The sequence below is a fragment of the Homo sapiens genome, chromosome 22, assembly GCF_000001405.40.
Source record: "Homo sapiens chromosome 22, GRCh38.p14 Primary Assembly".
In the NCBI taxonomy this organism is placed as follows: Eukaryota; Metazoa; Chordata; class Mammalia; order Primates; family Hominidae; genus Homo; species Homo sapiens.
Genome location: NC_000022.11, coordinates 38,290,673 through 38,318,113, shown reverse-complemented (window position 1 = coordinate 38,318,113; position 27,441 = coordinate 38,290,673). Strand labels below are relative to the sequence as shown.

The following is a 27,441-nucleotide window of genomic DNA, read 5'->3' as shown; positions in this document are numbered from 1 at the left end:
GGCACCCCTCCTTCAACAGGGGAGAATGAGGTTGGGATCTGAGGGGTCCTCTCTGTGCCCATCACAGTTTGAGCTTCAGGGAAAAGAAGAAGAGGTCTTTGCCCTTCGTTTTTCCACGGGAGGAGAATGTATGAGCCCAGGCTACCTTTCTGGGCCTTGTGTCGACATCCCTAGCTGTCTCCTCAAATCTCTTGCCCTGAATCAACCTGGCCTGTGTTCTCTGCGGCACTCGGAACCTGGAGGCGGACTGAGCCTCCAGCAGTCTAACATCTTTTGCAGTGTCGTGAATAGCCGCCTGTTTTCGCAGGGGCCCAGTGCTCTGCCTGGAGAGGAGAGAGATCCTGGCAGGCGGGGAGAGGAGACTTTGGGTCTAGACCCTCCCCTCCCATCCCCTCACCTCCGCTTTTTGTGCGCCCTCCTCTTCCCTCTGTCCCCCCCGCACCCCGTCTTTTCCACCTGTGCCCTGGACTGCATTAGGGTGTCAGTATCTGTGTGCTCCCCCACCCCCACGCGTAAGCCCGCGCGCCTGCACTGAGGCTGGGGAACTGCGTCTCGCAGCTGCGGCCCCCAGCGCGGAGGGCGCGGGCCCTTTAAATCCTCCGGGGCGGCGGCGGCGGGCCGGGGATGACATCAGCGGGCGGGCCCGGGGCTCAATGGGAGCCGGCGGGCGCGCGCGGTGCGAGAGCGCGCGAGCCGGCGGCGGGGGCGGGCGGGCGGGCAGGAGGCCGGGAGGAGGGAGGCGGCGGCGGCGGCGGCGGCGGCGGCGAGAGCCCAGAGCCAGAGCCCGGCCGGGGCCGAGCGGAGCGCGGCGGCGGCGGCGGCGGCGGCGGCTGGGCCGGGAGAGGCTGGCGCGCCGGGCGGCTCCGCGAATCCTCCGGCATCCGCCCCGGCGGGCCGCCCCCGCCCGCGGCAGCCCCCCGAGCAGTGGCCCGGCATCGGCGCCTTCCCGGCGGGGTAAATATCGGGGGGCCGCGGGCCCGCGGAAGGGTGCAAACCTGGGGGGAATCGGGCTCCCTCAGCCTCTTTGTTTTTGCTGGAGAGGGAGGGAAGGGAGGGCAGACACACGCGCGTTCGCGCTGGGGTGTAGGGGGGGCAGCCCGGGCGCCGCCCGCTCGGCCCGGCGAGGACAAAGGCGCGGCTGGGGACGAGGAGGAGGGGGCCTGTTATTTTGCAGGCTCGCGGGGGAGGCCCCCCGGCCGGCCTGCCTCCGCTTCCCCCCGCTGGGCCCTCCGAGGCCCCGGCCGGCCAGGCGGCCACCCCGGCTGTGATTTGGGGACGCTGAGGGAGGGGGCTTGGGGTGCTGGGCGCCGGATACTGTTGATTCGGGCCCGCGTAGCGTTTCATCGGACAATCACCGGCGCCCCCTGCTCTCCCGGCCCCGGCGCCCGGACCTGGGGGTTCGCAAGGCTGCGCCCGCTCGTTGGATGACGGGCGTTTGGGGGTCCTAAGGTGAAGAGGTGTGTGGTCACCAGGCCACTGATTTGTTTTTCTTTGTGGAGAGAAAGAAAGGGGTGGGGGTTATTTGTCGGATCGGATTCTCCCATTTTTGTGTGAGAGATTGATGTCTTGCAAGTCTCTAAGGAACGCAAAACAGTGTCTGGGTGTCGTTAGAGGATTCCCAAGCTCTTGTTAATACCCTAACTCGAAGTGGGGTGAGCCCCCTCCCCAACTTTTCCCTTAGTTTTCTTGCATATTTTCTTCCTGGCATAGCCTCCTTCCTGGAGAAGGATTTGGAGAGAGGAGAAGGGGACACAAGTGTCTCAAGTTGCTTCCAAGCAATGCCTGTGTTTGGGTCTCCTTTGCCTTCGTTTCTATGATGTCCCTTCAATTTTTATTTTAATCGTCCGAGGGACAAGGGCCCCGGCTCAGGGGTAGGCGATGGTGTTCGGGGAGTAAGAAGCACTGCCCGTGTGCCATGCTGGTTGGTAGTTTGTCTAATTTTTTTAACCTGCTGAAACTCTTGAACCTTTATATCCACTTTTCCCCCCACTTTGTTTATCTCCCCCCCTCCCCCATGGGAGAAGCAGCAAAAGAACTGAAAAGCCTCTCCATTCCTGAATGAAGCTTTTCTGCTCTCCTCTGGGAGGCTTTTTGGGTATTGGTGCCGGGACAGTCTAGGCTCCCCCAGGGACCTTGGACCCCTGGGGTGTTGGGGAGCGACTGGGGGTCTGGGTGGCTGGCACATAGCAGTCAGGGGGTCCTGAAGGGCTTGCCCCTTCCCGCTCTCGTTCTCTGCAGACAGCCGGTGAGTGGGGAGAGACTGGGGGGTCATGTGCAGTATATTTATGTAAGACACCCAGACAGAGGGCACGGGTATTTATATAACCCGGCGTGGGTATTTATGTAATATAGGATGCGGGTATATTTATGTTCCTTTCCTAACCTGCGGGTTTCCTGGCTGCCATGTGTGGTCTCTGAATTGGTGTTGGCAGAAAGTGGACTGAGGTGTTGGGGGGGGGTTGCGTGCACACCCCCCCTTACCCCCCAACAGGGCTCACTGTGTGTGCCTGCTTTTCTTTCTTCCGTTGGAGTGTACACACTCGGGAAGCTGGACGTGTGTGTACGTGGGATGTGTGGCGTGTGGGTTTCCTGCAAACGTGGACTGTGTTCCCCTGGCAGCGTGGCACCTCAGCTGAGACAGGCCAAGCATATGGGCAGCGGCCCTTGATTGAGAGCCCAGAGTTTGGCCAGCTCTGGTGGAGGTCCCTGCCTCGTGGTTATTGGTGGAGGGCTGGTGAGCTCCTTGGGAGCCAGGTGCCGGGGTTCCCTGTCTCTCCTGGGATCTGCCCACTGTCCCTGGAATCCATCTCCCTCCCAGGCTGGCCTGGTTGTTGGGGGCAGCACTTGGCACGGGCAAGGGGCTGATCTTCTGTGCCAGCACAGCTGCTCTGCAGTCTTCCTGTTTTGCCCTGTTTGTGAGTGTGGGAGACCACCAGGTGGGACAGCCGGAGCCCTGTCCTCGGCGAGGCTGTACCATCTGCAGGGTGGTGTGGGACAGGTGGCATGGCCTCTGTGAGCCTGAGTACCCTGTCTGTGAAAGGAGTTCCCTCTTGCTAGTCCTTGATGCTGGTCCTCTTGTAAACACCCCTCCCCCTGTTTACTGCAGTCCCTGGTCCCTGTCCCCACGGCAGCACTGCCTCCAGGCCTTCAGTTTCCTCCTCTGCTGACCAGGAACAGGGTGTCCGGACTTTTGCCCCAGGCCAGAGCAGAGGGGTCCCTCCTCTGCCCCAGGCCAGAGCAGAGGGCTCCCCCCTGGCCCTGAGGAAGGAGAGAAGCTGCTCACATCAGAACTCCTCCTCCCACCCATCCGGGGCAGGCGGCTAAAACCCTGGCTCAGTCCCCTTTGTTGTTCTATGAGGGCCCTCTTAGGAGACCCTCCTAGTCTTAAAGGACGCCAGCTCCAAACAGTTTATCCAAGCGGCTATGGGCCTCCGTGTGAGGTCTTGGTGTCATGACGTAGAGATGGGGAGGTGGCTGGAAGGTGGATGGTCGAGGGCATTCTTTTCTGCCTTCCCCCCAGTAGGGGATGCGACTTTCTCCTGCAAGGCGTGCTGGGCACTGGCGAGGTCTGGCCTCTGGGCAGGGGCAGTACTTGGGAAGACCAGGCCAGGCTGTGGGAGCCTGGGGGGTAGGAGGTGTAAGAGGGCTGATGCCCGTTGTGATCCCTTGAGAAGCTTCTTTTGAGGGGCCCCTGAATGAGCATCCCCCAAAGACATGCTTGCTTGGCTGCTTCCTCTCTGGCCACACTGAAACCTGTCCTCAGCCTGCCTTAGCTGTTCCCCAGGTGTGTGGAGTGCAGGCTGTGGGCCACCTGACACCTGCAGAATGTGGTCTTCGAGAATGCAGGTTTTCGAGTTCCTGGTGGCTCTGCCTGGCCTTGGTGGACTGGACCCCTTTCCCGGCTCCCCACGTCGCTGACCCTCATGTTCCTGCTTCCTCTGCAGCAAGAGTGAGCCATGGAGCTACGTGTGGGGAACAAGTACCGCCTGGGACGGAAGATCGGGAGCGGGTCCTTCGGAGATATCTACCTGGGTAAGTGTTCCTAGCTCCAGCTGGAGCCCCTGGGGCCAGCCCATGGGACCAAGAGGAGGAAAGACCCCAGGATTTGGGGATCTGAAGTCAGAATGTGGCTCCAGGGGCATGATTTGCCCCAGGGCCATCCCAGATGGGGAAGGAAGCAGCAGGTTGCCGGGAGGCAGGCCAGGGGGCTCCTCTCGCAGGCCAGGCTGGGCACTGGAGGGTATTTTTAGCTCCAGTTTCTGCAGGAGTCATGCGGTTCTTTTGTGCCTCAGTGTCCCGGGTCAGCTGGGTCACCAGCTGGGTGTGGGAAAACCCAGGCGGGGTTCACATCCTCTCCCCTGCTTCCTGGGAGAAGGATATTGGTAGATAGAAGGGACTTGGGTTGCTGCTGGACCCCTAGCCAGGCCCCCCTCTCTATGTCCTGGCCTCCTGGAACCCAGCCCAGGCAGGCTTTGGGATGACGCAGGCTCCCCTGTAACCTCGGGGGTGGGGTGGGGGGATGCGGTCTCCTCATTAGGGAGTTCTCTCTCTCTCTTTTTCTCTCCGGATGTGCTTCCTGTTGAAAGTATGAGTATGCTGTGATGTTGCATTTTAAACAAATCACTGACCTCTCAGTCCTCCCCTTGGCCTGGGAGAAATGAGGCTTGCGCCTTTCAGTGCCACTTCTGAGGGGCACGGTCATGAGTCTTGGCCCTTCCTTTGTGCTTATTGGTCCAAAGGGAAGGTATTTAGTGTTGGTGCTTGTGGATTAGCGGGTGGAGGCTTGAAGTTGCTGGAGTGAGGTGGCCAGCCCTTCTACGAGTTATCCTCATTCCTGTCCCTGCACCCTCAGAAGCAGGCTAGACACACCTCTGTGCCTTGGTTACCCTCCTTGGAAAATGAAAATCAGCTCTGTCCAGTGCAGAGAACACCAAGTCTGTGTGTCGTGTCCATCAGCTCAGAACTTCGGGGTTTCTGTTACCCCATGGTTAGGGTTCCTTGGAGTATGAAATGTGCTAAGGAAGCCTCAATGGAGACGGGGACGGAGACTGGGAGTTCCCTGACCACTTCCTTGCAGGGTACTTTCTGCAGCCCCTAGAGATAGTACCAGATTATTTGTTTGGCACATCAGGAAACTGAGGCACAGATGGTCAAGTTGGCCTCCCAAGACCGCTCTAGAAAACTGGCAGAAGCAGCCTGTATGCCCACAGCCCTCCACATGAGTGAGAGCGTGGAAGACAGAACATGCCGAGGGAGACGTTAGACGTCTAGCTCTGCGTTCTAGACGTGGCTTTGTGTGGCTGTGGGAAGGTCATGCAGCTCCTCTGTGCCTCAGTGTCCCCATCTGTAGTTTGTGATAATGCTGCCTGACTGACCAAGAACTGTTCCAAGGCAGAGATGAAATGACAGATGGGAAAGTATTTTGTAAACTCTAAAGTGCCAGCCAGATGTGCAGTTCATTGCTGAGTGCTTAGTAGATGAGCCTCCCCTATGGACACCCTGGAGCTCAGAGGGAGGGAGAGTGTGTGGTGCAGCTGGTTTAAAGGTTTTTCTCTGCGACCCCAAGCTACTCCCGGGGAGGCAGGCATTTGGTAATATCTGCTAGTGCCCAGCGCAGTGGGTGTTCACTGAAGGCTAGTCAAGCAAACCAATGAGAAAATGGGGATTGTGACATGCACAGACATGCACAGTAGCCTCACAGCAGAATAGAAAAATGCCGGGATGGCCAGGTGCGGTGGCTCACACCTGTAACGCCAGCACTTTGGGAAGCCAAGACAGACAGATTGCTGGAGTCCAGGAGTTCGAAACCAACTTGGGCAACATGGTGAGACCCCATCTCTACAAGAAAAATATAAAAAGTAGCTGGGCATGGCGGCACGCGCCTGTAATCTCAGCTACTCAGGAGGCTGAGGTGGGAGAATCACCTGAGCCATGGAGGTTGAGGCTACAGTGAGCTGAGATCACACTCCAGCGTGGGTGTCAGAGTGAGACCATGTCTCAAAAAAAAGGAGGCCAGGAGATATGGCTCACACCTGTAATCCCAGCACTTTGGGAGGCCGAGGCGGGCAGATCACTTGAGGTCAGGAGTTCGAGACCAGCCTGGCCAACATGGTGAAACGCTGTCTCTACTAAAGATACAAAAATTAGCTGGGTGTGGTGGCACATGCCTGTATCCCAGGTACTCTGGAGGCTGAGGCGGAAGAATGGCTTGAATCTGGGAGGTGGAGGTTGCAGTGAGCTGAGATCGTGTCATTGCACTCCAGCCTGGGCGACAAAGCAAGACTCCATCAAAAAAAAAAAAAAAAGAAGGAAAGAAAAGGGCTGAGATGTGGGGGCCAGTCCAGGTTCAGATCCCCAGCGTGTTCCTCATTTGCTGTGTGACCTGGAGTAAGTCACCATATCATTCTGAGCCTCAGTCTTCTCATCTGAAATGAGTGTACCCAGCTCCTTACTGTTTGTGAAATTGGAGTGGGTGTAAAGGACCCTCGTATTATTGAAGCTGTTGGGCTGAGCACTGAAGTCTGGAGCCACTGGCTGGAGGTCAAAGGGCATGGAGACAGCTCTTGGCACAGACTTGTTCCTAGACAGCGCCCATCCCAGGTCCCGTCGCTCTTTTTGCAGACAGGAGACAGGCCCATGGCTGGAGCGGGGACAGCCCAAGATCACTCAGAAAATCCAGAATCTTGTGTGGTGGGACCTCCCTGGGGACAGGACTTCCTGTTTATCTGCATAGTCATCTCATTCATTTTAAAAACTAAGTACAGATTTACTCCTCTTTGTACTGGCTCTAGAGTAAATTCGACCTAGGTTTGGGTGCTGGTTCTTCCTTTTGTGAGCTGTATGCGCTTGAGCAGGTGATGACCTTGTCCATCCTTGGCTTCCCCATCTGCAAAATGGGGTCGTGCAAAGTAATGAGGTCGTGGCGTGTAAAATACCCACGTGTGCTGGGCCCAGCAGTAGTGCTGTGCGCTGCGCCCCCACCATTGGTCTTAGTTTCTAGTTCGGAGTTGATTTCGAAGGGTCTGGGTCCTCTGGGTCTGAGTCTGGGGAGGCGAGTCAGACTCCTGACTCTCCCATCTTCACTGGTGCAAGGGCCTCAGGGGACCCTGCCCTGACTCACCATCCTGCCAGCACCCTCCTGGGCCCCTGTCTTGTTGGTTTGGGGACAGTGGTGATTGTAGGGCGTCCCCGGCCAGCCTTGCTGGCTCCATTTATTCAACACTCTGGCCACATTCTTATCCCCAGTGCTCTGCCAGGGCCTGACTCCAGATGGCCTCTGCCGGTGGGGCTGGATGCGTCCTCCAAGCCCTGCTTTCCAGGATCACCCGAGGGCCAGCACACTATGGATGTGGCTTCTGCCCCTTCTCCCTCTGCATCATAAGGGGTCAGCCAAGAGAGTGGGGCCTGCTTTGTTAAGGCACTGCTGTTGCCCATGCAGGGTCCAGAGGTGGCCAAATCTGGGCCCATTTGCTAGACTTGCATCCTGGGGAACTCTCTAGACCTCTTAGAGTCTCTGGTCCTCAGCTCTGAAAGGGGTGGCGAACAGTGTTGTTCGCTGACAGGTGGTTCCAGGGGTGAGAGTTAGTGTGGGAAATACTCCAGGCCTCTGATGGGTGGGAACTGAGGTTGCCGCCGCTGCTGCTGCCGGGACGGTGGGCTTCATCCCCTGTCCTCCAGTCCACCCATGTCCCCGATTGTGTCCATGTGTCTGTGTAGGTGTCAAGTAGGCCCCCGTGTGAGGCTGGCCACGCCCGTGGCCACCTGGAACTTGCCAAGTTCCCAGCCCCTCTAGGGCCAGCCAAGTCCAAGCCCTTTTCTGTGTCCAAGTTTGTTTTGGGAACTGGCATTCCCTCCACTGTGTCTGACTCATGGGGCATCTTCTGTTCCTGAAATCGGGCAGTTCTAGCTTCTAGGCCTTCGCATGTGGGGCACCCCTGCATCTATGCTCAGCCGGCTCCCAGACACAGCCTCTGCCAGGAAGCCTCACCTGGAGTTTGAGTGGAGAAAAAACACAGGGACTTTGGGGACTAAGTTTCAAATTCTGGCTGTGCCCCATCCAGTTCTGTCAGACCTTAGGCCAGTTACCTAACGTTTCTGAACCTCAGCTTAGCGGTTGTAAGAATTAAGGGAGCTCAGAGAAAAGCCTGGCGGCTTCCTGATAGAATTTAGAGGCCACCAAGGAACTCATTGGTGGCAGGACCTGCTGCAGGGGGAGGCAGCTCTGGCAGGTTTCCAGCACTTGCGGGGGTCAGAGGCTTTGCCTAGCAGCTTGGGTCCCTGTCCCTGGGAAGTTTGTAGCATATGATCATTTGACCTTTGGTGTCTGTTTTTCCACATGTCAAACAGAAATGCAAACAGTAGGCCAGGCACAGTGGCTCACGCCTGTAATCCCAGCACTTGGGAGACCAAGGCGGGCAGATCATTTGAGGTCAGGAGTTTGAGACCAGCCCGGCCAACATGGTGAAACCCCATCTCTACTAATAATACAAAAATTAGCCAGGCGTGGTGGTGTCTGCTTGTAATCCCAGTTACTCGGGAGGCTGAGGCATGAGAATCGCTTGAACCCGGGAGGCAGAAGTTGCAGTGAGCCGAGATCATGCCACTGCACTCCAGCCCAGGCGACAAAGTGAAGCTGTCTCAAAAAAAAAAGAAAAAAGAAATACAAACAGTAGTACTCGAAGAGTGGAGTAAGGGCTCGAGGGGAAGAGGGCCCTGTCTACCACTACCTCCCCAGCACCTCTCCTCCCTGCACACATCTGCCGAATCACCAAGTGCTGCAGGCCCTGCCTCCAAAGTGTCAATCAGTTTCTGCACCCTGCCCAGGCAGGGCCACCGTCAGCTCTTGCCTGGTCTCTGTAGTGGCCTTCCCAGGCCTTCCACTACCCCTCTAGCCTCCTCCAGCCCTTTCGTATCCACCAGGTAGCCTCAACAGGGTGATTTTTGTCCCCCAGGAGACATATGTCAAGATCTGGAGACCTTTTGGTTGTTACAATTCAGGGGGAAAGGGGTGCCCTGGCATCTAGTGGGTAGAAGTCATGGGTGCTGTTAGACTGTGCAGTGCCCAGGGCAGCCCCACAACCAGGAATTCTCCAGCTCCAGTGTCAGTAGTGCCACGGTTGAGAGATCCTGTGATCACACACCTGAACATGGCCCTTGGTGCCTCAGGCTGAAGGCCAGGATCTTAGCCGGCCATTCAAGACCCTTCAGATCTCTTCCCTGCCCACCTCTTCCACTGTCTTTTTCTGCCACCCCATGGTTCCCGCTGCACCTGCTGCTGTTGGGCCTCTGCTTGTGCCGTGACCTCTCTTGTCTGTCCAGTACAGTCCTGTTTGGGAGCCAGGAGCCCTTGCAGCCTGCCCTCCCGGAGGCTCTCCTTTCCTCATAGCATGGCTTATTCCCTCTTCCCCTCCTCCCACTGGGTGGACACCGGCTCATCTCTAGCCTAGGGGCTGCACTTCCCACCAAGCCGAACATCATGGAGCATTGACTGTGTGCCAGGCACTCTTGTAAGCATGTTTGTCTGTCAGAACATCCCAATGAGCCAGATAGTGTCATCGGTTTACACATGAGGTACCTGGGGCTCAGAGGGGTGAAGTGCCTTGTCCGACGACCCCTGGCCAGGGGATGTCCGAGTCAGGATTTGGGCTCTAGTAGGTTGGCTCTGAAACTCACACTTCAACCGCTGCACTCTCCTGCCTCTCTGCTCATGGGGAAATGGAGCATGGCCAGGGGACTCTAAGGATCCTCACTGTCCCCTGGAAACCTGTGTGGCTCATCCCAGTGACGAGCATTGATGTGTCAAAAGCTCTTTACAGTTTGCAAAGTACTTTCATTCCTGTTGCTGGCTAGATTGAGTTATTCATTCTGTTTTTCTTTTTCTTTTATTAAAAATCCAAATACTCAAAAATCAAAACACAAAAATGTGTTAAGTGAAAGAAGCCAGTCACAAAAAATCACGTTGTATGATTCTGTTTGATTCTATTTCTGTGAAATGTCCAGAAAAGACAAATCCATAGAGACAGAATGTAGATTAGTTGGGGGGCAGGGGATGGAGCGAGGAGATAGGACCTTACCCCACTAAAGGCTACAGGTGTTTTCAGGGTGATGAAAATACAGCCCTCCTGGGCCAGGCACAGTGGCTCATGCCTGTAATTCCTGCACATTGGGAGGCTGAGGCAGGTGAATCACTTGAGCCCAGGAGTTGGAGACCAGCCTAGAGATGGCAAACCCTGTCTACAAAAAATACAAAAATTAGCCAGGTGTGGTGGCTTGCGCCTGTAGTCCAGCTACTCGAGAGGCTGAAGTGGGAGGCTCACTTGCGCCCCAGAGGTTGAGGCTGCAGTGAGCTGTGTTAGTGCCACTACAGTCCAGCCTGGGTGGCAGATTGAGACCCTGTCTCAAAAAGAAAAAGAAAATACAGCCCTCCACCTTCGGTACCTGTGGGGAATAGGTTCCAGGATCCCCCTCAGATACCAGAATCCTCTGATTCTCAAGTTCCTGATATAAAAAGCTGTAGTATTTGTATATAAGCTACGCGCATCCTCTGTATACTTTTTTTTGTTTTGAGACGGAGTCTCGCTGTGTCGCCAGGCTGGAGTGCAGTTGTGTGATCTCGGCTCACTGCAACCTCCGCCTCCCAGGTTCAAGAGATTCTCCTACCTCAGCCTCCTGAGAGCTGGGATTACAGGCGCTCCCACGGGAGCACCTTGGCTAATTTTTGTATTTTTAGTAGAGATGGGGTTTCATCATGGTGGTCAGGCTGGTCTGGAACTCCTTGCCTGGTGATCCGCCTGCCTCAGCCTCCCAAAATGCTGGCACCTGGCCTTCTCCATATACTTTAAATCATCTCTAGATCACTTATAATACCTAATACAATGTAAATGCTATGTAAATAGTTATTGTACTGTATTTTTAATTTTTATATTATTTACCTATTTATTTTTGAGACATGGTCTTGCTCTGTCACCCAGGCTGGAGTGTGGTGGTGTGATCATAGCTCACCGCAACCTTGACTTACTAGGTTCAAGCAGTCCTCCTGCCTCAGCCTCCCAGGTAGCTGGGACCACAGGCACGTGCTACCACGCCTGGCTAATATTTGTATTTTTTGTAGAGATAGGGTCTCACTATGTTGCTTAGGCTGGTCTCGAACCGCTGGACTCAAGTAATCCTCCTCAGCCTCCCAAAGTGGTAGTACTACAGTTGTGCATCACTGCACCCAACCTATTTCTTATTGTTGTGTTGTTATTTTTTATTTTCTCCCCCCACGTATTTTTGATCCATGGTTGAATCGGCAGATGCGGAACCCACAGCAGATGCTGATACGAAGGTATCAGCTGATAAGAAGATGCTGTGTTCTAATTTTTAATTTTTTTTTTTTTTTTTTTGAGATGGAGTCTTGCTCTGTCGCCAGGCTGGAGTGCAGTGGCACAATCTCGGCTCACTGCAACCTCTGCCTCCTGGGTTCAAGCAATTCTCCTGCCTCAGCCTGCCGAGTAGCTGGGATTACAGGCGTGCGCCACTACGCCCAGCTAATTTTTGTACTTTTAATGGAGATGGGGTTTCACCATGTTGGCCAGGATGGTCTTGATCTCTTGACCTTGTGATCCGCCTGCCTCGGCCTCTCAAAGTGCTGGGATTACAGGCGTGAGCCACCGCGCCCGGCCTGTGTTCTAAAATTGATTGTGGTAATGGCTGCGCAAGCTTGTGAATATACTAAAAACGGTGAGTCGCACACTTTGAGTGACTCAATTGGAGAGTTATCTGAATTACATCTCAATAAAGGTGTTGAAAGAAATTGCAACTTATAACACAGTATCCAGTGAAGCGTCCCCCACCCCTTCCTCCCTGACCCACTTAGCCCTGTACAGTCATGTTTCTGTTCAGTGTTTCTTTATGTAGCTAGAGCCAAACACAGATACTTAGTTCCCCACCTTTTTAAAGAAAACTGAAATGAGAGTGTGGAATATACACTGTTCTGTGCTTTGCTTTTTCACTTCCTGTATCTTGGAGATCTTTCCACTTGTGTGCAGAGAGAGCTTCCTGGTTCTTTTTCCATTGTATTCTGTTTTATGGATGGGCTATTCTTTATTTAATCAGCCCCCTCAGGAGGGACATTTGGGTTGTTTCCAAGCTTCTGCTGTTCCAAACAGCCTGCAGCCGACAGCCTTGTCCCCGCCTTGTTTTGCACCGTGCTAGGATGTCAGGTAAACTCCCAGAAGCGGGGTTGCTGGTCAGGGCTGAGTAGCGTCAAATCCCCCTCCAGTGGCGACTCAGCAGTTGACGCCTCCACCACCTGGGAGGAGTGCTCAGCGCCCCCACAGTCTTGCCGACAGACAGGTGTGTTATCTCGTAAGACTTTTGACAATCCTAGGTGAAACATGGTCTTTCACGATCATATTAATTTGCATTTCTCTTACAAGGAGGTTGGGCATCTTTCCCTATGAGTAAGGCTTTTCTATTAATGATTTCTTTCTCTGTGAAGTGTGTGTTTCAAATCCTTTGGCCTATTTTCTGCTGAGTCTTTTTCTGACTGATTTGTAGGAGCTCATTACATATTAGCTCTTTGCCTGTGATAAGAATTGCAAGTGAGTATGTCTCTTAGGACTTTATTTCCGGTGTTTTTGCCATGCAGAAGGGATTCTTTTTTTTTTGGAGAGGAAGGAGCTTTTTTTTTTTTTTTTTAAATGGCTTTAGGATTTTGAATCAGGGATAAAAATAAAAGCTTTGCCTAACCCCAAGGCTATAAGGCAATTCTCCCTTCTTCTAACATTTCATTGTTATTTCTTATTAAACGTTGAGTGGATGCAAAGAATACGTATAGAATACCTGCATGGCCTAAGGTGTCCCTCCCTGGGAACCACCGTCTGACATTTAATCTTTTTCCTTTCTTTCGTGTTTAAATCTGTATTGTCCAGTCTTGTTGCCTGTTTTGATATGGAAACAAGTAGAACTGTGCTTGCACTCTTCTTTTTTTTTTTTTTTTTTTTTTTTTTGAGCTGGAGTTTCACTCCGTCACCCAGGCTAGCGTGCAATGGCACAATCTCGGCTCACTGCAACCTCCGCCTCCTGGGTTCAAGTGATTCTCCTGCCTCAGCCTCCCAAGTAGCTGGGATTACAGATGCCTGCCACTGCGCCCGGCTAATTTTTGTATTTTTGGTACAGACAGGGTTTCACCACCTTGGCTGGGCTGGTCTCGGACTCCTGACCTTGTGATCCACCCGCCTCAGCCTCCCAAAGTATTGGGATTACGGGCGTGAGCCACTGTGCCTGGCCTCGGGTAGAATGTTTTCAAGGTGCACTCGTGTCGTAGCGTGTATCGGTACTTTATTCCTCTTTATTGCTGAATAATATTCCGCCGCATGGAGGCACTGCATTCCATTCATCCTTGCATCTGTGACAGATGTTTGTTGTTTCCACCCTCTGGCTGCTGTGAGGAGTGCACCCCTGGGACCAGGGTCATTGTGTGAAGCAGGCATCCTTTCCTCTTCACTGCCGCCTGGGATTCCCTGGTGACTGCGCCACTGTTCCTGTTCTTCTGCTGCTGAGCACTTGGGCTGTTTGCTCCTGTGTCCATCCTTGTCCTGTCCCCCTGGTGCACACGTGTTTCTGAAGGATGTACACTCAGGAGTGGGGTTGCTTGGGCGAGCGTTTGTTTATGTTCAGCTTCACCCAAGAGGTGCACAGGGGCTGTGCCAACTCACACCCACACCTTTATTTCTTATATACAAACTTTTCCTCTACTTGAGATTTCTCCTGGTTGTGGTGTGAGCCATGGTGTCTTTTCTCAGGTGGCCAGCCGGTTGTTCAGGGACATTATTAATGAACAGTCTCATCTTTTCCTCTGATGTGAGGTCCTGCCTTTCTCCTGTCTTGAACTCCTCCTGAGGCTGTGTCCCTGGGGGTTGTTCTGGCCTGTTTGTGTCCTGTTGCGACACTGTCCTACTCCTCCTGCTGGGCTCGCTGCTGGCCCCAGGAAGGAGACACCCTGTCGCCCAGCCTAGCCCCAGCCCTTCATCTCATCCACCCATACAGCCAGGGAAACTGAGGCAAGGTACACTTTGGGCTTGGTCTTTCTTGTGACTTCTTGAGTTGGGCAGTGGGCCCAGGCAGAGAGCGGGGCCTTGGTGTGTGTGAGGGTATTTTCTTAGAGCCCCTTGAGAAGCCAGGAGTGGACTGGGGGAGACGGGGAGGTGCAGGCAGGACCTCTGACCTATGCTGGAGGCCAGCAGAGCCGGGGTTGATCTCAAGGCCGCCATTTACAGGTCAGGTGACCTTGAGCTGGGTCTCTAGCTGGGTCTCTGTTTTCTCATCTCTACAAGGGGGTTGAGAATCGAATGAGACACTGGATTAGAATGTGCAGGGCTGCCTCTGAAGGCATCAGCATTGACTGAGGGGTTGCTGCGGCTGTCCCATCCTCATCCTGTAGGCCAGGGTGGTCCTGGCTTGTTCTGGTGTGTTCGGCAGCCCAGCCCCATTGGGCCTCTTCTGCACGTGCCACCATCTCAACCCGACAGACCTCACTGCCTGAATTTGCTCTAGGACTCAGCCCCCTCCCTTAGGTGGTCTGTGAGCCTTTTGCATACCTGACCCTTGCCCCACTCACATCGGGCCTTCTTGTCGCCCCAACCTGTGGCCCTGGGTAGCCCTTGTGTGTCACCTCTGTCCCTCACAGCGCTGACCTTCTTTCCCCTCAGGAACCCTTTGCCGGGGCTCCTTTGCCCCCTTCCCAGCCTCCCCCAAGAGCTCCTCAAGGGCAGATGGCCCCGGGCCCGGCACACGCCAGATCTCAGAAATGCTTAGTGGGGCGCCTGGGACTGCCTGGCCTTTGAGGGTGACCCTGGTCCCTTGCCTCCCTGCCCCGGGCAGGTGCCAACATCGCCTCTGGTGAGGAAGTCGCCATCAAGCTGGAGTGTGTGAAGACAAAGCACCCCCAGCTGCACATCGAGAGCAAGTTCTACAAGATGATGCAGGGTGGCGGTGAGCGCAGGGTGGGCGGCGGCGGGCGCCGGGTGGGTGGCGGTGGGCAGCCATGAGCACAGGGTGGGCCGGGCGTGGCTGGCTGCCTGCCTCTGACCCCTGACAGAGGCCCTCTGCTTGACCCCCAGTGGGGATCCCGTCCATCAAGTGGTGCGGAGCTGAGGGCGACTACAACGTGATGGTCATGGAGCTGCTGGGGCCTAGCCTCGAGGACCTGTTCAACTTCTGTTCCCGCAAATTCAGCCTCAAGACGGTGCTGCTCTTGGCCGACCAGATGGTGAGTCCCCGTCCCCTCCATCCCCAGCCAGATGCCTGTGGGCCCAGGATACCAGCCCTGCCTCCTGCCCCCAGAGGATGCCAGAGGATGGGCCTGGGCCAGGGGACCTTGTCCACTGGCTATAGAATTGTAGGTGTTTATTTATTTTTTGAGGCGGAGTCTCACTCTGTCGCCCAGGCTGGAGCGCAGTGGTGCGATCTCAGCTCGTTGCAACATCCGCCTCCCAGGTTCACGCGATTCTCCTGCCTCAGCCTCATGAGTAGCTGGGATTACAGGCACCTGCCACCACGCTGGGCTAATTTTTGTATTTTTAGTAGAGACAGAGTTTTACCAAGTGATCCGCCCATCTTAGCCTCTCAAAGTGCTGGGATTACAGGCGTGAGCCACCGTGCCCAGCCAAGTTGTTTATTTAAAATGTGATTTCAGGCCCAACTCCAGACCTGCCGAGTCAGGGCCTGGGACTCTGCCTGGGGTAGTTTTATTTATTTATTTCAAAAATATCATTTAATTGTAAGAAATAGAGATGGGGGTCTCACTGTGTTGACCAGGCTGGTCTCAAACTCCTGGCCTTGAGCAGTCTTCCCATCTTGGCCTCCCAAGATGGGAATTAACACGGGATCACAGGCATGATCCACCACGTCTGGCCTGCCCTGGGTAATGTAAAGCCTGCGGTCGGTCACACAGACCTGGTCCTGTTCCAGACCAGTGACCGTAGGTGAACGCCGAACCTCTCTGAGCCTCAGTGGCCTCATGTGAGAGTCTCTCCTTTGTTGGTTGTTGAGGGGATTAGGTGAGATACCATTCAGCGCCTTGCCAAAACAGGCCCCTCTAACAGGCTGTTGTTAAGTACTAAGCCCTTCATCAGCATAGGGAGGAAAGCTTCTTAAAAATACAAAACTGTAGAATTTTGAACTTGGAATGGAATGTGGAGATCTCGTACAGGGGTTTTAATCTTGGTCTGCAAAAGCCCTGCGATGTAGGCTGAAGGTGTGTGAGCAGAGGGTCGCCAGAGCCCCTCATGGTGTGAAACTCAAGAAAGGTGCAGGAGATGTTGAGCTGTGCTGAACCTGGGGCCAGAGCCAGAGGCCACGGCATGTGGATGGATATTAGTTTGAGTTTTAAAAACTCGACTGAAAAGGTGGCTCAAGTCTGTAATCCCAGCACTTTGGGAGGCCGAGGCAGGCGGATCTCCTGAGATCGGGAGTTTGAGACCAGTCTGACCATCATGGTGAAACGCCATCTCTGCTAAAAATACAAAAAATTAGCCAGGTGTGGTGGCGCGTGCCTATAGTCCCAGCTATTCGGGAGGCTGAGGCAGGAAAATCACTTGAACCCTGAAGGCAGAAGTTGCAGTGAGCCGAGATTTTGCCACTGCACTCCAGCCTGGGCAACAGACCGAGACTCCATCTCAAAAAAAAAAATATCAAAGGAAAGAGGGCCATGTGCCTGTCTGAGTTTGGCATCCTTCGGAAGCCCTGTCTTTTGTGTTCTGCCTCTGTCACCTCTTCCTGGTCTAGGCTTCCCCCATGTTCCCTGCCTGCCCCTCGCCCACATCTGTTGCCTCTCTGGCTCCCTAAGTCCTGTGAGTGTGGGGCCGGGCAGGCAAGCCTTCCATGGGGAACCAGTTGCCTTTCTAGCAGACTCTTCATTTCTGGATCTTCCCATTAGCTTTCCTGCAATACTCTCTTTCTCTGTCTCACAGCCAACTTGGTGAACTCCCCCTTTAGAGTTCATCCTGATGTCACATTTTCCAGGAGGCCTTCTCTGGCCTGCCCCTTAGTTATCCTTCATGGTCGAAGGCAGGCCTTTCTCCCTCTGCCTTTCCACCTCTGTGGCCCCAGCCCCTGCCTGGCCCAGAGTGCTAGGCAAGGGCCCCTCTGTTGAACAAATGGCCCCCCTCCTCCCCAGATCAGCCGCATCGAGTATATCCACTCCAAGAACTTCATCCACCGGGACGTCAAGCCCGACAACTTCCTCATGGGGCTGGGGAAGAAGGGCAACCTGGTCTACATCATCGACTTCGGCCTGGCCAAGAAGTACCGGGACGCCCGCACCCACCAGCACATTCCCTACCGGGAAAACAAGAACCTGACCGGCACGGCCCGCTACGCTTCCATCAACACGCACCTGGGCATTGGTGAGGGAGCCAGGCCTGGAGCAGTGTGCACCCGGGGCCACTGGCTGGGGCCCAGCTCTCTGGAGCCCTCTCACCCCCTACCCTGATGGAGGCCCCCAGGCTCTTTTCTAGTGAGAAAGTCCCCACCCCGTCTGCCCCCAAGCTCGTGCTTATTCCGTGTCCTTGCACAGTCGGGTCTTCCCCTTCGTAAGCCAAGCTGTGTGTGCCGGGCGCCTTCCCTGGCCCTGCTTCCTCCTCCGCCCTGTTGGTGCAGGCTGGAAGATACAGGCTCAGAGGTTTAACATGGGTTGCTTAAGGTCATGCAGCTTAGCTAATGCCAAAGCTGGACTTGACCCCGGCCCTGTCTGATGCTGAAGCTTGTGACCTCTCCACGGGGTGGGCCAGGCAAGGGGGCAGTAGGTGCCCTCTCATAGTCATTGAATGATTAAGTGCCTGAACTGGAAAAACTAGGCCCAAATTAAGTTGAGAAGGCCCTGCCTCAGGCTTCTTCTCTGTAGGAGGAGGATAATAGCAGTGCCTGTTTAAAATGCGTGCAGTGAGCAACATCCGACGTGGGGGCAGGAGGGTCCTGGTGCATTGTGAGGAGCATGACCCAGAGGATGAGTTAGGGGCCTGAGTGGACCCCTGTCCCTCACCTAGTCTTTGACTCTCTGTGCAGAGCAAAGCCGTCGAGATGACCTGGAGAGCCTGGGCTACGTGCTCATGTACTTCAACCTGGGCTCCCTGCCCTGGCAGGGGCTCAAAGCAGCCACCAAGCGCCAGAAGTATGAACGGATCAGCGAGAAGAAGATGTCAACGCCCATCGAGGTCCTCTGCAAAGGCTATCCCTGTGAGTAGCCCAGTGGGAGGGGACATGCCTGGGGGCCCCTGAGGCACTGTCTAAGGGAAAGGTGAGGCCATACAAAGCCCACGCTGGGGCTAGGCGCGGTGGTTCACGCCTGCAGTCCTGGCACTTTGGGAGGCCAAGGCAGGTGGATCATGAGGTCAGGAGGTCGAGACCAGCCTGAGTAACATGGTGAAACCCTGTCTCTACTAAAAATACAAAAATTAGCCCCACCTGTAATCCCAGCTACTCAGGAGGCTGAGGCAGGAGAATTGCTTGAACCTGGGAAGCGGAGGTTGCAGTGAGCCGAGATTGCACCATTGCACTCCAGTCTGGGTGACAGAGCGAGACATCATCTCAAAAACAACAACAACAAAGCCCACACTGGGCTGCCCCACAGCCCTTGGCACCTGAGCAGTAATCCCTGGCTCTTTGCCACTCCTTGGCACAGCCAGAAGGCCCGGTTTCCCTGTCCTGGCTGTTACACCTGTTGCTTCCCGGCCTACATTCCTGCCTCATCTCCCAAGGGCCCTCTCCCCAGTGTTTTTGAGGAGGAATTGGAAGTTTTCCTCTTCTTGCTTAGGTTGTGTTAGAAGGTCCCGTCAGGCTCTTGCAGTCCTTTGAATTTATGGCAACGATTGATCTGTGGGCCCCAGGGTGCTTGGCGAGGGCAGCGGAAGAGCTGTGGGCATGGATGGCTCCTGGATCCGGCTACCTGGCAGAGGCTCCTGGCCACTGTTCGCAGGTCTTCCCTTGCTCTGAAAGCAGCAGAGGCTCTGCTCACGGGCAGGCTAGGCTTTCATCACAGTAGGATAGGGAAGGCCATGGCTCTGTTGCCTCCTTTTCTTGCCTCTCACAGATTGGAAGTATCTAGGGACAGTGGGTGGCTAGGACAGTGCTGGCTGCAGGGGGTCTGGGAGCGTGGGCCTCACAGTGGCCTTCTCTATCCTCTGCAACACCCTCCAGCCGAATTCTCAACATACCTCAACTTCTGCCGCTCCCTGCGGTTTGACGACAAGCCCGACTACTCTTACCTACGTCAGCTCTTCCGCAACCTCTTCCACCGGCAGGGCTTCTCCTATGACTACGTCTTTGACTGGAACATGCTGAAATTCGTGAGTCACCTGGAGGCCAAGGCGGGCTTGGGGGACTGGATGGGGAAGGCCCTGACTCAGAGGGCCAGAGTGAGCTGGTGGCGGGAGGGGCTCCCGACAGACGGGAGGTACGAGCTGGACAGTGTGGTTGACCTCACTGGGGTCCCAGAGCCCTCCAGCCTCATCCGTGCTGACAGCTTGTGCCACCATGGGCAGCAGGGCCCAGGCAGGGCGCTGTCTCCCGTCGGAACAAGGAGGATCTGGCTTCACCTGGGGTCCCTCCTGGGTGCCCGCAGCAGGGCATGGGTGGTGCTGGCGGCGCCCCCTGCTGCCCTGATTGCTGCCTACACCGTCCTGCTGCTCCTGTTCTGCACATCCCAGGTGGCTACCTGCACCATGGCCCCTCGGGCCAGCCTGGACCCAGTCATGGTGCTTGCTTTCTTCTTGGTCATGGGCCCCTGGGTCTGGCTAGGCAGTTGTTCTGTTTCCCTCTTTTAAGAGTCCCAGGGGTGGGGTTGGGTGGGGAGCAGCATTGGCCGGCCGTACCCAGAGCTCTGGAATCTGTGAAATTGTATGTCTTGTTTCACATCTCTTCTGGAAAAGGGGGCTTCCTCGAGCCAGGCTCAGCCCCGTGACAGCCCCATGACAGCGAAGGGACCTTTCTGTCCCCGCCCCTGTCCCTGTGCTGGGCCCACGTACTCACCCACGTACTGGTAAGGATCCTCTGAGGTCTGGCTTTTCCAAAATTTGCCACTTGACCAGTGAGCGCAAGAGGCTGAGCCTCAGCTGTGCTTTTTGTCCCTTTCAGGTGCCCGGCTCCCCTGGGCACCCAGAGCCCCCCAGATAGGCCGGTGGAGGAGGTGGAGGAGCTGTCCCCCCAAAACTACTGGCCTGTGGTCTGGACTCCAGGGCCCCATTTCTGATGTCGCCAGGTGTGCCTGAGCCCATCGGGGCCAGGCCTGAGGAAGTGTTTCTTGGGAGGATGGGATGACCCCCTGTTCCCAAGAGATGGCAGCACAGTGGAGGCCATGGTGGAAAAGGCCCTGCCATGGGGTCCTTGAGGGCCAGGACAGCCTGAGGGAGGGATGGTGGCCACTGCCCACAAGGGGCCTGGTGGGAACGGGTCCCAGGACAGACTCATAGCTAGACCCCGTTGGCGGCCTCTGTGTTGAACCAGAACTCATTAAACACCTCCTCTTGCTTCATCCTGGTGTGCCTCTTTCATGGCAGGGCCCTCAGCCACCCTGCTAGATGGTTAGGACCAAGGCTCTGTTCTCCTGGAAGCCAAGGTCGGCACATTGGTCTTGGGCTTCTCTTCTCTCTGGGTTTCTTGTTCACTAAGGAGTAACACAGAGGTCAGGCAGAGAATGGGGGTCTCGCAGGCTAGGGACCTCAGGGAGAGGCCTCTGTTGCCCTTTTCAGCAAGGCTGGAAATGGGATATGGGCAGGGGACGTCTTCTCTGACTTCACCCTAGACCTTCTGGCTCCAAATGGGGCCCATGGCCTTGAGCACCTGGGACCAGCTCTTTCCACCACAGGGCATTGGGCACTGGGCACTTTCTTATCGAGATAGTCACTCCCACGTCTGGTTCGTGATGGGCTTGGCCCTCCAGCTCAGCACAACTGCAAGAATGGATTTTGTATTCTCTAGACGGACACTGTCCAAGATGGTAGCCATTGGCCACATGCGACACATTTTTAATGAATTAAAATTAATCAAGACTGGAAATGTCGGCCAGGCCTGGTGGCTCATGCCTGTAATCCCAGCACTTTGGGAGGCCATAGAGGGCGGATGACTTGAGGTCAGGAGTTTAAGACCAGCCTGGCCAACATGGTGAAACCCATTTCTACTAAAAACACAAAAATTAGCTGGGCATGGTGGTGTGTTCCTGTAATCCCAGCTGCTTGGGAGGCTGAGGCAGGAGAATCGCTTGAACCCAGGAGGCAGAGATTGGAGTGAGCTGAGATCATGCCACTGCCCTCCAGTGGCCACCACATCCGGCAAGGCAGATGGGACCATTTCCTTCATCCAGAACGTTCTGTGGACATCACTGCTCTAGGTTCCTCCCTTATGGAGTCTCACAAGACTGTCTAGCCAGCAAGATCTCTTTTCCAACCAGGCCAGGAGCACCTCTCCACCCACTGCTGCTGGTCTGACCGCCTTCCTGGAAGTCCCTCTTGAGGCAGGCCCTGGAGTTAGAAGCTGGGCAGAGGCACCCACAGCCTTATCCTTTGCCAATCTCTGACTCAATGCCACGGCCACTGTAGTGAGCTGAACCACCTCCAGCAGTCCCCTGGCAGAAGCACCTGGAAAACATGCAATGGGAACCTTCACCCTGAGGCCAGGCCCTTCCCATGCTACCCAACAGTAGACAGGACACCCTGTGTTGTTGGCTGCACCGGGGTGCTGGGATCTGTGGATCCCTGGGGCCTGGAAGCCACTCTCAGCACATACAGCCACTGTGTTCCGAGGTCCAGTCAGCTGGCCGGGAAGGAATTCAACACAGCCAAGGACAGAGGTCCATATGATGACGGGTGGATGCTCGTGTGACTTTGCTGACCTTTTATGTTTTCTATGGGCAATAAAGGCCAAGAGAGCTCCCTGCTGTGTGTTTCTTGCGTCCTATGGGTTGGATGGGACCATGGAGAGTCGCCCACTTCTTGCCTCGGGGCTGGCAATGGCCTGAGCCTGCTGGGCTCACAAAGGGCAGGGGCTCCAGCCCTCTGCTTGGCTGCTGGCTGCAGGGCTCCACACCTTGGAGTGAGTCACTCAGCCTCTGTATCCCAAGCATGGAAATGAGATTGACCTGCCTCACAGGGTTGATGTGACTCTGCCCGCAGAAGGTTCGGCACGGAGGTGCCACAGCTCGTGTTCCTCCCCAGGCTTTGCTGTGGCTCTGGCTGAGTCACTGTTGGCCAGCCTGCAACCGAGTGGGAGCCCAGGGTGAGGACCGGAGGTCAGGAGTTAGAGCCCCGGTGGTCCCAGGCCTGCCTGAGAGGCTTCTGGGTGGGAGGATGGGAAGATGCATCTTCTAGAGTGTTCTAAGGCAAGACTCTGAACAGTGACCTCTTGGGGTGCAGAGAGCAGAGTGGGACTAGGTGGCAGAGGCCTGGGTTCAGACCCTAGCTCTGCCCTGAGCTGTGCAACCCCGGGCAGGTCACAAGGCCTCTCTGGGCCTTGGTGCCTCACTAAGATTCAGGGATCATTCTGGTCCTAGCCACTACTTCCTGGAGTTGCTTAAAGACAGGGCCCACCCCCACCTCTTGGCCAGTCTCCTGGGAGAGACATGGGTTGCAGGAACCACACCCTGTGCCCATGAGCAGGCCCCCAACTCAGCCCAGAGCTCTCTCCTCCACAGATGCGGCCCCCTTCCTGCCAGCCCCCTGCCCTTCCCTGTGGACGGCCCCAGGATGAACTAGGTAACGCAGTCGGGCGCTGCCCCCACATATGCTCTTCTCTGGCCCCTTCTCACTTCCTCCTGCACCAGGGGCGGCAGTGGCTGGACAGCAGGGCACCTGGGGGCTTAGGGTACCCCTTCTGCTCCAGCTTTGCCTGCTGGGCCTCTTCTTCCTCCGTGGGGAACGTGGCCCCATTTTCTTCTCCAGCTCCCCTTGAGCTTCTGTCCCAAGGCAGGCGGTGTCTGTGGGTTCCCTGGGCCTCCTGGCTGTGGCCTCCACTGCACCTGCCAGAAGCCATTGCCAGGTCCCGGCAGGGGGAAGGACAGCTCCCTGATGAGAAGAGCCCCTGGCTAGGTACCGGGAGAGCTGGTCTGAGTCCTAGCCCAGCCTTCCACTAGTTTTGTGACTCTGGGCCTGTTCTTTTCCCCCTCTGGACACCCCTAGCCAGTCTGCTAGAGGCCTCTAAACAGCTTTCCTGCTCGGTTTAGCAACCTTGAGTAGTTAAGGGCTCTTGGTACACAGAGGGGGGCCAGGGCAGGCCCAGCCCCAGGTCAGGAGGGCCAAGAGGTGCTCTTGATCATCCTGGGCGCATTAGTTGTCCTTTCTCTGGCTCCATCCCAGGAGAGCAGGGCAGACTGACCTCCCTCTGCCCCCAGACTCCTGCTTTCTCCTTCCTCTGGTGGTTGTGTGGCTTCGTGTCTCTGTGCTGTGTGATTGTGGGTCTTGGCTTCCCGCGCTTGTCAGGGAGGCTGGAGCAGAAGGTTTCTGAGATATCCACCTGGCCTCCCTCCCCTTCTGTGCCCTGCAGGGCTGCTGGGCCCAGAGCACCCTGGCCTCTGGGGCTGACTGGTGTCTTTTCTTGCATCCCTGCAGGGTGCAGCCCGGAATCCCGAGGATGTGGACCGGGAGCGGCGAGAACACGAACGCGAGGAGAGGATGGGGCAGCTACGGGGGTCCGCGACCCGAGCCCTGCCCCCTGGCCCACCCACGGGGGCCACTGCCAACCGGCTCCGCAGTGCCGCCGAGCCCGTGGCTTCCACGCCAGCCTCCCGCATCCAGCCGGCTGGTGAGCAGGGACTCAGGCAGTGGGCTGGGTTCAGGGTGGGTGGGGGGCTCTGTTTGTGCCTACTCTGAGGGTGGCTTCCCACTCTCCCTCCAGGCAATACTTCTCCCAGAGCGATCTCGCGGGTCGACCGGGAGAGGAAGGTGAGTATGAGGCTGCACAGGGGTGCGCCCGCCAACGTCTCCTCCTCAGACCTCACTGGGCGGCAAGAGGTCTCCCGGATCCCAGCCTCACAGGTGAGCTGCCCCCCTGCCAGTCCCTCTGGGCCTCAGAACTGAGTTAGAGACCCCCCAGTGGGAGGTCAGGCCGTGGCTCTGTTCTTCCCTTTCCATCGACGCTGCTTGCCTTGGAGTGAACCCCTTCTGTAGAGCCAGGACTTGGCCTCATTTAATCCTCTGAGGTCTGATGAGCCCTCTTGAGCAAAGTCATTCACCAAGGCTCAGGGCAGTAACATTCCCTGGCAAGTGGCACAGCTGGGCTCCAGTCCTCGCTGCCAGGGGCCCAGCCAGGGTGGGCAGCAGGGGCTCAGAGATGAGGTGTTGCTGCTCCCTGACATCAGGGAGCCCCCAGGAGCCCCTGTGAGCATTGGCAAGAGCATGGGGTGTAGGGGCAGTGAGGTCCCATCCTCTTTGGGGCTATGTTTGGATGGGGACACTTGGGAAGGGGGAATCTGTAGTTGCCCAGGGCAGGTGGCCTGGCAGAGGTGGGTGGGAGCCCTGCCCTCGTCCTCCTGCCTGTGGGCGAGGAGGGAGTCCTGCGAGAGAACCCTCATTGGCCATCTACTTAGGTAGCAGGTTTGCCTCCCTGGGCAACATTCTTAGCTACAGACAGGGACATCTTAGAGTCACTGGAATCACACAGGCCTTCCCTCAGCTTGAGGGGCTGCCTGGAGGTGGGGGTGGGGGTACACCTCCTCAGTGGGGAGAGACTTGCCAAATCTCTATCGCCAGCGGCTAAGGGACTTGACTTGAAGCTTGTACCTCCCTCTCTCTCCCTCCCCCTCTCTCCCTCCCCACCCTCAAAAGACAAGTGTGCCATTTGACCATCTCGGGAAGTGAGGAGAGCCCCCATTGGACCAGTGTTTGCTTAGGTGAGTCCATGACTGCTGCAGATGCAGCCAGCCCAGCCGACCTAGAAGCTCCCAGGGCCCCAGAAAGAGACCAATGTGTTGTGGAGGGGTGGGTGGCAGTGGCAGTGGCAGATGGTACCAGGCGCCCCAGAACTCTAAGGGGCCTCAAGTAGTTTAAAACCTCGGAGGCTGCCTGACTTGGGGCCAAGGGTTTCTATGCTCAGGCCTGACCCCTCATGGATTAGTTTCTGCTGGAAAAACTTTTTCTGCCCTCGGCCAGGTCTCTATCTCCTTCTGCCTTAACATATTTTGGAAGGTTGGTTCCCAGCAGAGACGGGGCCATGGGCTCACACTCTGACCTCTCCCACGGCATTAGCCCTGTCTCAGCCTCTGGGCTGTTACGCAAGTTAATTCCTGCACAAGACTCACAACAGGGCTGTGGAGGAAGCAAAGGAGCCCTTTTTATGCCTCTGTAGTAGGACTGAGAGAGGCCCTCTGGCCAGCGTGAGCCTGCTGGTTCTTCCCGGACTGTACCAGGCCTTGAGGCGGGGTATGGAAACGCCCCACTCTGGGGCCTGGCTTGGGGAAGGGGAGGCGGCAGGGGTTCTTTGGGCTTCTCGAGGGTATAATCTGAGCTCTCTGGGGAACGTGTGTCCATTTGTAGGCAGTAGTCCGACACGTCGGGGGACTCAACTTTACACTGGGACAATCTGTGTGTGGTCTGTTTTGTAGAAATTCATCCACACAAGAGAGTGGAGGCATGAACAGGGCTGGCCTTCCTCGGATCTCAGGCCCAGGAACCAAGCTGTCCATGGCGGGCTGGGCAGATATTTGGGGGTGGGGTGGGGAGATGCTCACCAGGAGGGCAGAGAAGGGAGAGAATCCGTTTCTGTCACATGAAGATGGATCTCCTAGCGTGCTGGGCCTTGAGCCAGGCTCTGGGGCCCAGAGGGAGATAGACCAAGGGACGAGAAGACAGGAGTTTGGGGGGCCAAGTGCAGTGGCTCGCACCTGTAATCCCAGCACTTCGGGAGGCCCAGACAGGTGGGTCACTTGAGGTCAGGAGTTCGAGACCAGCCTGGCCAACATGGTGAAAACCCATCTCTACTAAAAACACAAAAATTAGCCGGGTGTGGTGGCACACACCTGTAATCTCAGCTACTCGGGACGCTGAGACAGGAGAATTGCTTGAATCTGGGAGGTGGAGGTTGCAGTGAGCCGAGATCGTGCCACTGCACTCCAGCCTGGGGGACAGAGCGAGACTCCATCTCAAAAAAAAAAAAAAGTAGCCAGAGACAGCTGTGTACCTCACCTGTCTTTTCCCTTCTCCCTTCTAGTGTCTTCACTGTATTTTCTTTAAAAAAAAAAAAAAAAAAAAAAAGGCAAAAATAAACCACTCAAAAGAACAACAAAAAAACCCAGCACAAAACCGACGATGGAGTTTGTTTCTTTGATTTCTTTGCCAATGGCAAGAAGATGAGATGCCCTCAGCACTGAGGATTCTTGCCCCCTTGTGGTGCCCGCTGCCCCCAACCTTCAGGCTGCCAGATGCTCCCCTGACAACACCAGGCTACAGGAGCCAGACGCCAGGGCCTGCCCGGCCTCCTGTTCCTGCCCCCACCCACCACCTGCCTGGAGAGGAACGGGTCGGGTCCGTGTCGGAGAAGTGACAGGTCCCAGAGCCAAAGCCGGCCCTCAAGCATCATCAGGGAGTGGTGTAGTCAGTTGAAGGCAGTTCCCACCGAGTTTTCCGAGCCTCAGAATCCAGGAGATACGCACAGCCCCACCCACTCTGAGATGACAGTGGCTGACTTCCCGTGCTGGGCTTTTCCATTGTCCCCCTGGCCTCCAGGCTCCTCCTCTGCCTCTCCATGGAGTGGGTGGGGAGGTGGTGGGGGCCGGCGTCCCCTGCGTGTGTGTGTGTGTGTGTGTGTGTGGATGTATTGACCTGTGTTTCCCAAGACAGCAGGTGCCACGGCCCGCCCCGCCTGCCAGCCCGAATTCCCGTTCTCCTGTGTCTACTAACAAGGACATGGGGGTGGGCGGTGACCTCCGCATCCCTCAGAGCTCAGAGGGTCCTCGCTGCCACCGGTCCCCCCCTAGCCCGTCATCAGCCGGTGGCAGCTCCATCTTCCATTCCTGGTTTTAGGGCAGAATCCATGGAGACTGCTTCCAGAAGGCATCTGGCTCTGAGTTATAAATTACTTCCCTGGTCCTGACAGTCACCTGGGGTCCCCCCTCTCCCTGGTTCCACCTTTCTGAGGAGGAGCCTGGAGTCAGGGCTGGGTTTTGGATTAACCCATCCTTCCTAGTTAACACCTTTTTGTTTTTATTTTATTTTATTTTTGTTTGTTTTCTCCGTGTGTGTGTTTTCCTAATTTATTTACCTCTGTTTCCCCTTTTTCCTTTTTTTTTTTAATTAAAGAGCAAAGCTTTTTATTACTTTGTAATTTAAAAAACTGAAAAAAAAAAAACTGAAGAACTTTGGGGGGAATTTTGTACTTTTTTCCTGTGTAAATATTGGACTTTTTTGAGCTTTATCGTGGTTGTTAATTTGAAGTAATAAAGTAGAAAAGATAAAGTGATGCAGGCAGCCCTTTGTC

General features: G+C 55.8%; 2 protein-coding genes across 3 annotated transcripts in view, besides 13 other annotated features; both read left to right on the top strand.

Moving 5' to 3' along the window:
* The window catches only part of TPTEP2-CSNK1E (TPTEP2-CSNK1E readthrough), a 108,225-nt gene extending 80,802 nt beyond the window's left edge, over positions 1-27,423 (top strand). The window contains exons 6-15 of the mRNA NM_001289912.2: positions 3,945-4,032; positions 14,866-14,976; positions 15,105-15,253; positions 17,162-17,390; positions 18,049-18,219; positions 19,180-19,328; positions 23,580-23,772; positions 23,866-24,005; positions 24,795-24,859; positions 26,176-27,423. Coding sequence (NP_001276841.1) covers positions 3,957-4,032; positions 14,866-14,976; positions 15,105-15,253; positions 17,162-17,390; positions 18,049-18,219; positions 19,180-19,328; positions 23,580-23,772; positions 23,866-24,005; positions 24,795-24,827 — 1,251 coding nt within the window. The 5' untranslated portion in view covers positions 3,945-3,956 and the 3' untranslated portion in view covers positions 24,828-24,859; positions 26,176-27,423. The remainder of the gene's footprint in view (positions 1-3,944; positions 4,033-14,865; positions 14,977-15,104; positions 15,254-17,161; positions 17,391-18,048; positions 18,220-19,179; positions 19,329-23,579; positions 23,773-23,865; positions 24,006-24,794; positions 24,860-26,175) is intronic.
* On the top strand, positions 30-27,423 carry CSNK1E (casein kinase 1 epsilon). 2 transcript variants are annotated; one of them, NM_001894.5, is made up of 11 exons: positions 30-128; positions 3,945-4,032; positions 14,866-14,976; positions 15,105-15,253; positions 17,162-17,390; positions 18,049-18,219; positions 19,180-19,328; positions 23,580-23,772; positions 23,866-24,005; positions 24,795-24,859; positions 26,176-27,423. In NM_001894.5, exons 2-10 carry the CDS (start codon positions 3,957-3,959, stop codon positions 24,825-24,827), a joined length of 1,251 nt encoding a protein of 416 aa, NP_001885.1. In that variant the 5' UTR covers positions 30-128; positions 3,945-3,956; the 3' UTR covers positions 24,828-24,859; positions 26,176-27,423. The 2 variants fall into 2 exon arrangements, with proteins under 2 accessions (NP_001885.1, NP_689407.1); NM_152221.3 differs by lacking the exon at positions 30-128 and adding an exon at positions 681-954.
* Positions 964-1,353: a silencer, noted in NCBI's record as "silent region_13715". NCBI's record gives its function as "represses an Ori minimal core promoter by ATAC-STARR-seq in GM12878 lymphoblastoid cells {active_cell/tissue: GM12878}" and the evidence as "EXISTENCE:reporter gene assay evidence [ECO:0000049][PMID:35858748]".
* Positions 3,043-3,092: an enhancer, noted in NCBI's record as "active region_19009". NCBI's record gives its function as "activates an Ori minimal core promoter by ATAC-STARR-seq in GM12878 lymphoblastoid cells {active_cell/tissue: GM12878}" and the evidence as "EXISTENCE:reporter gene assay evidence [ECO:0000049][PMID:35858748]".
* Positions 3,113-3,282: an enhancer, noted in NCBI's record as "active region_19008". NCBI's record gives its function as "activates an Ori minimal core promoter by ATAC-STARR-seq in GM12878 lymphoblastoid cells {active_cell/tissue: GM12878}" and the evidence as "EXISTENCE:reporter gene assay evidence [ECO:0000049][PMID:35858748]".
* Positions 3,353-3,412: an enhancer, noted in NCBI's record as "active region_19007". NCBI's record gives its function as "activates an Ori minimal core promoter by ATAC-STARR-seq in GM12878 lymphoblastoid cells {active_cell/tissue: GM12878}" and the evidence as "EXISTENCE:reporter gene assay evidence [ECO:0000049][PMID:35858748]".
* Positions 6,590-6,639: an enhancer, noted in NCBI's record as "active region_19006". NCBI's record gives its function as "activates an Ori minimal core promoter by ATAC-STARR-seq in GM12878 lymphoblastoid cells {active_cell/tissue: GM12878}" and the evidence as "EXISTENCE:reporter gene assay evidence [ECO:0000049][PMID:35858748]".
* Positions 6,653-7,432: an enhancer, noted in NCBI's record as "H3K4me1 hESC enhancer chr22:38706687-38707466 (GRCh37/hg19 assembly coordinates)". NCBI's record gives its function as "activates a minimal SCP1, AML or CMV promoter by ChIP-STARR-seq in primed H9 embryonic stem cells {active_cell/tissue: H9 hESC(primed)}" and the evidence as "EXISTENCE:reporter gene assay evidence [ECO:0000049][PMID:30033119]".
* Positions 6,653-7,489: a biological region, named in NCBI's record as "H3K4me1 hESC enhancer GRCh37_chr22:38706687-38707466".
* Positions 7,400-7,489: an enhancer, noted in NCBI's record as "active region_19005". NCBI's record gives its function as "activates an Ori minimal core promoter by ATAC-STARR-seq in GM12878 lymphoblastoid cells {active_cell/tissue: GM12878}" and the evidence as "EXISTENCE:reporter gene assay evidence [ECO:0000049][PMID:35858748]".
* Positions 11,982-12,231: an enhancer, noted in NCBI's record as "active region_19004". NCBI's record gives its function as "activates an Ori minimal core promoter by ATAC-STARR-seq in GM12878 lymphoblastoid cells {active_cell/tissue: GM12878}" and the evidence as "EXISTENCE:reporter gene assay evidence [ECO:0000049][PMID:35858748]".
* Positions 12,332-12,381: an enhancer, noted in NCBI's record as "active region_19003". NCBI's record gives its function as "activates an Ori minimal core promoter by ATAC-STARR-seq in GM12878 lymphoblastoid cells {active_cell/tissue: GM12878}" and the evidence as "EXISTENCE:reporter gene assay evidence [ECO:0000049][PMID:35858748]".
* Positions 18,039-18,712: an enhancer, noted in NCBI's record as "H3K4me1 hESC enhancer chr22:38695407-38696080 (GRCh37/hg19 assembly coordinates)". NCBI's record gives its function as "activates a minimal SCP1, AML or CMV promoter by ChIP-STARR-seq in naive H9 embryonic stem cells {active_cell/tissue: H9 hESC(naive)}" and the evidence as "EXISTENCE:reporter gene assay evidence [ECO:0000049][PMID:30033119]".
* Positions 18,039-19,795: a biological region, named in NCBI's record as "CDK7 strongly-dependent group 2 enhancer GRCh37_chr22:38694325-38695524".
* Positions 18,595-19,795: an enhancer, noted in NCBI's record as "CDK7 strongly-dependent group 2 enhancer chr22:38694325-38695524 (GRCh37/hg19 assembly coordinates)". NCBI's record gives its function as "activates an origin of replication core promoter dependent on BRD2, BRD4, P300/CBP, MED14 and CDK7 cofactors, with strong dependence on CDK7, by STARR-seq in HCT116 cells {active_cell/tissue: HCT116}" and the evidence as "EXISTENCE:reporter gene assay evidence [ECO:0000049][PMID:35650434]".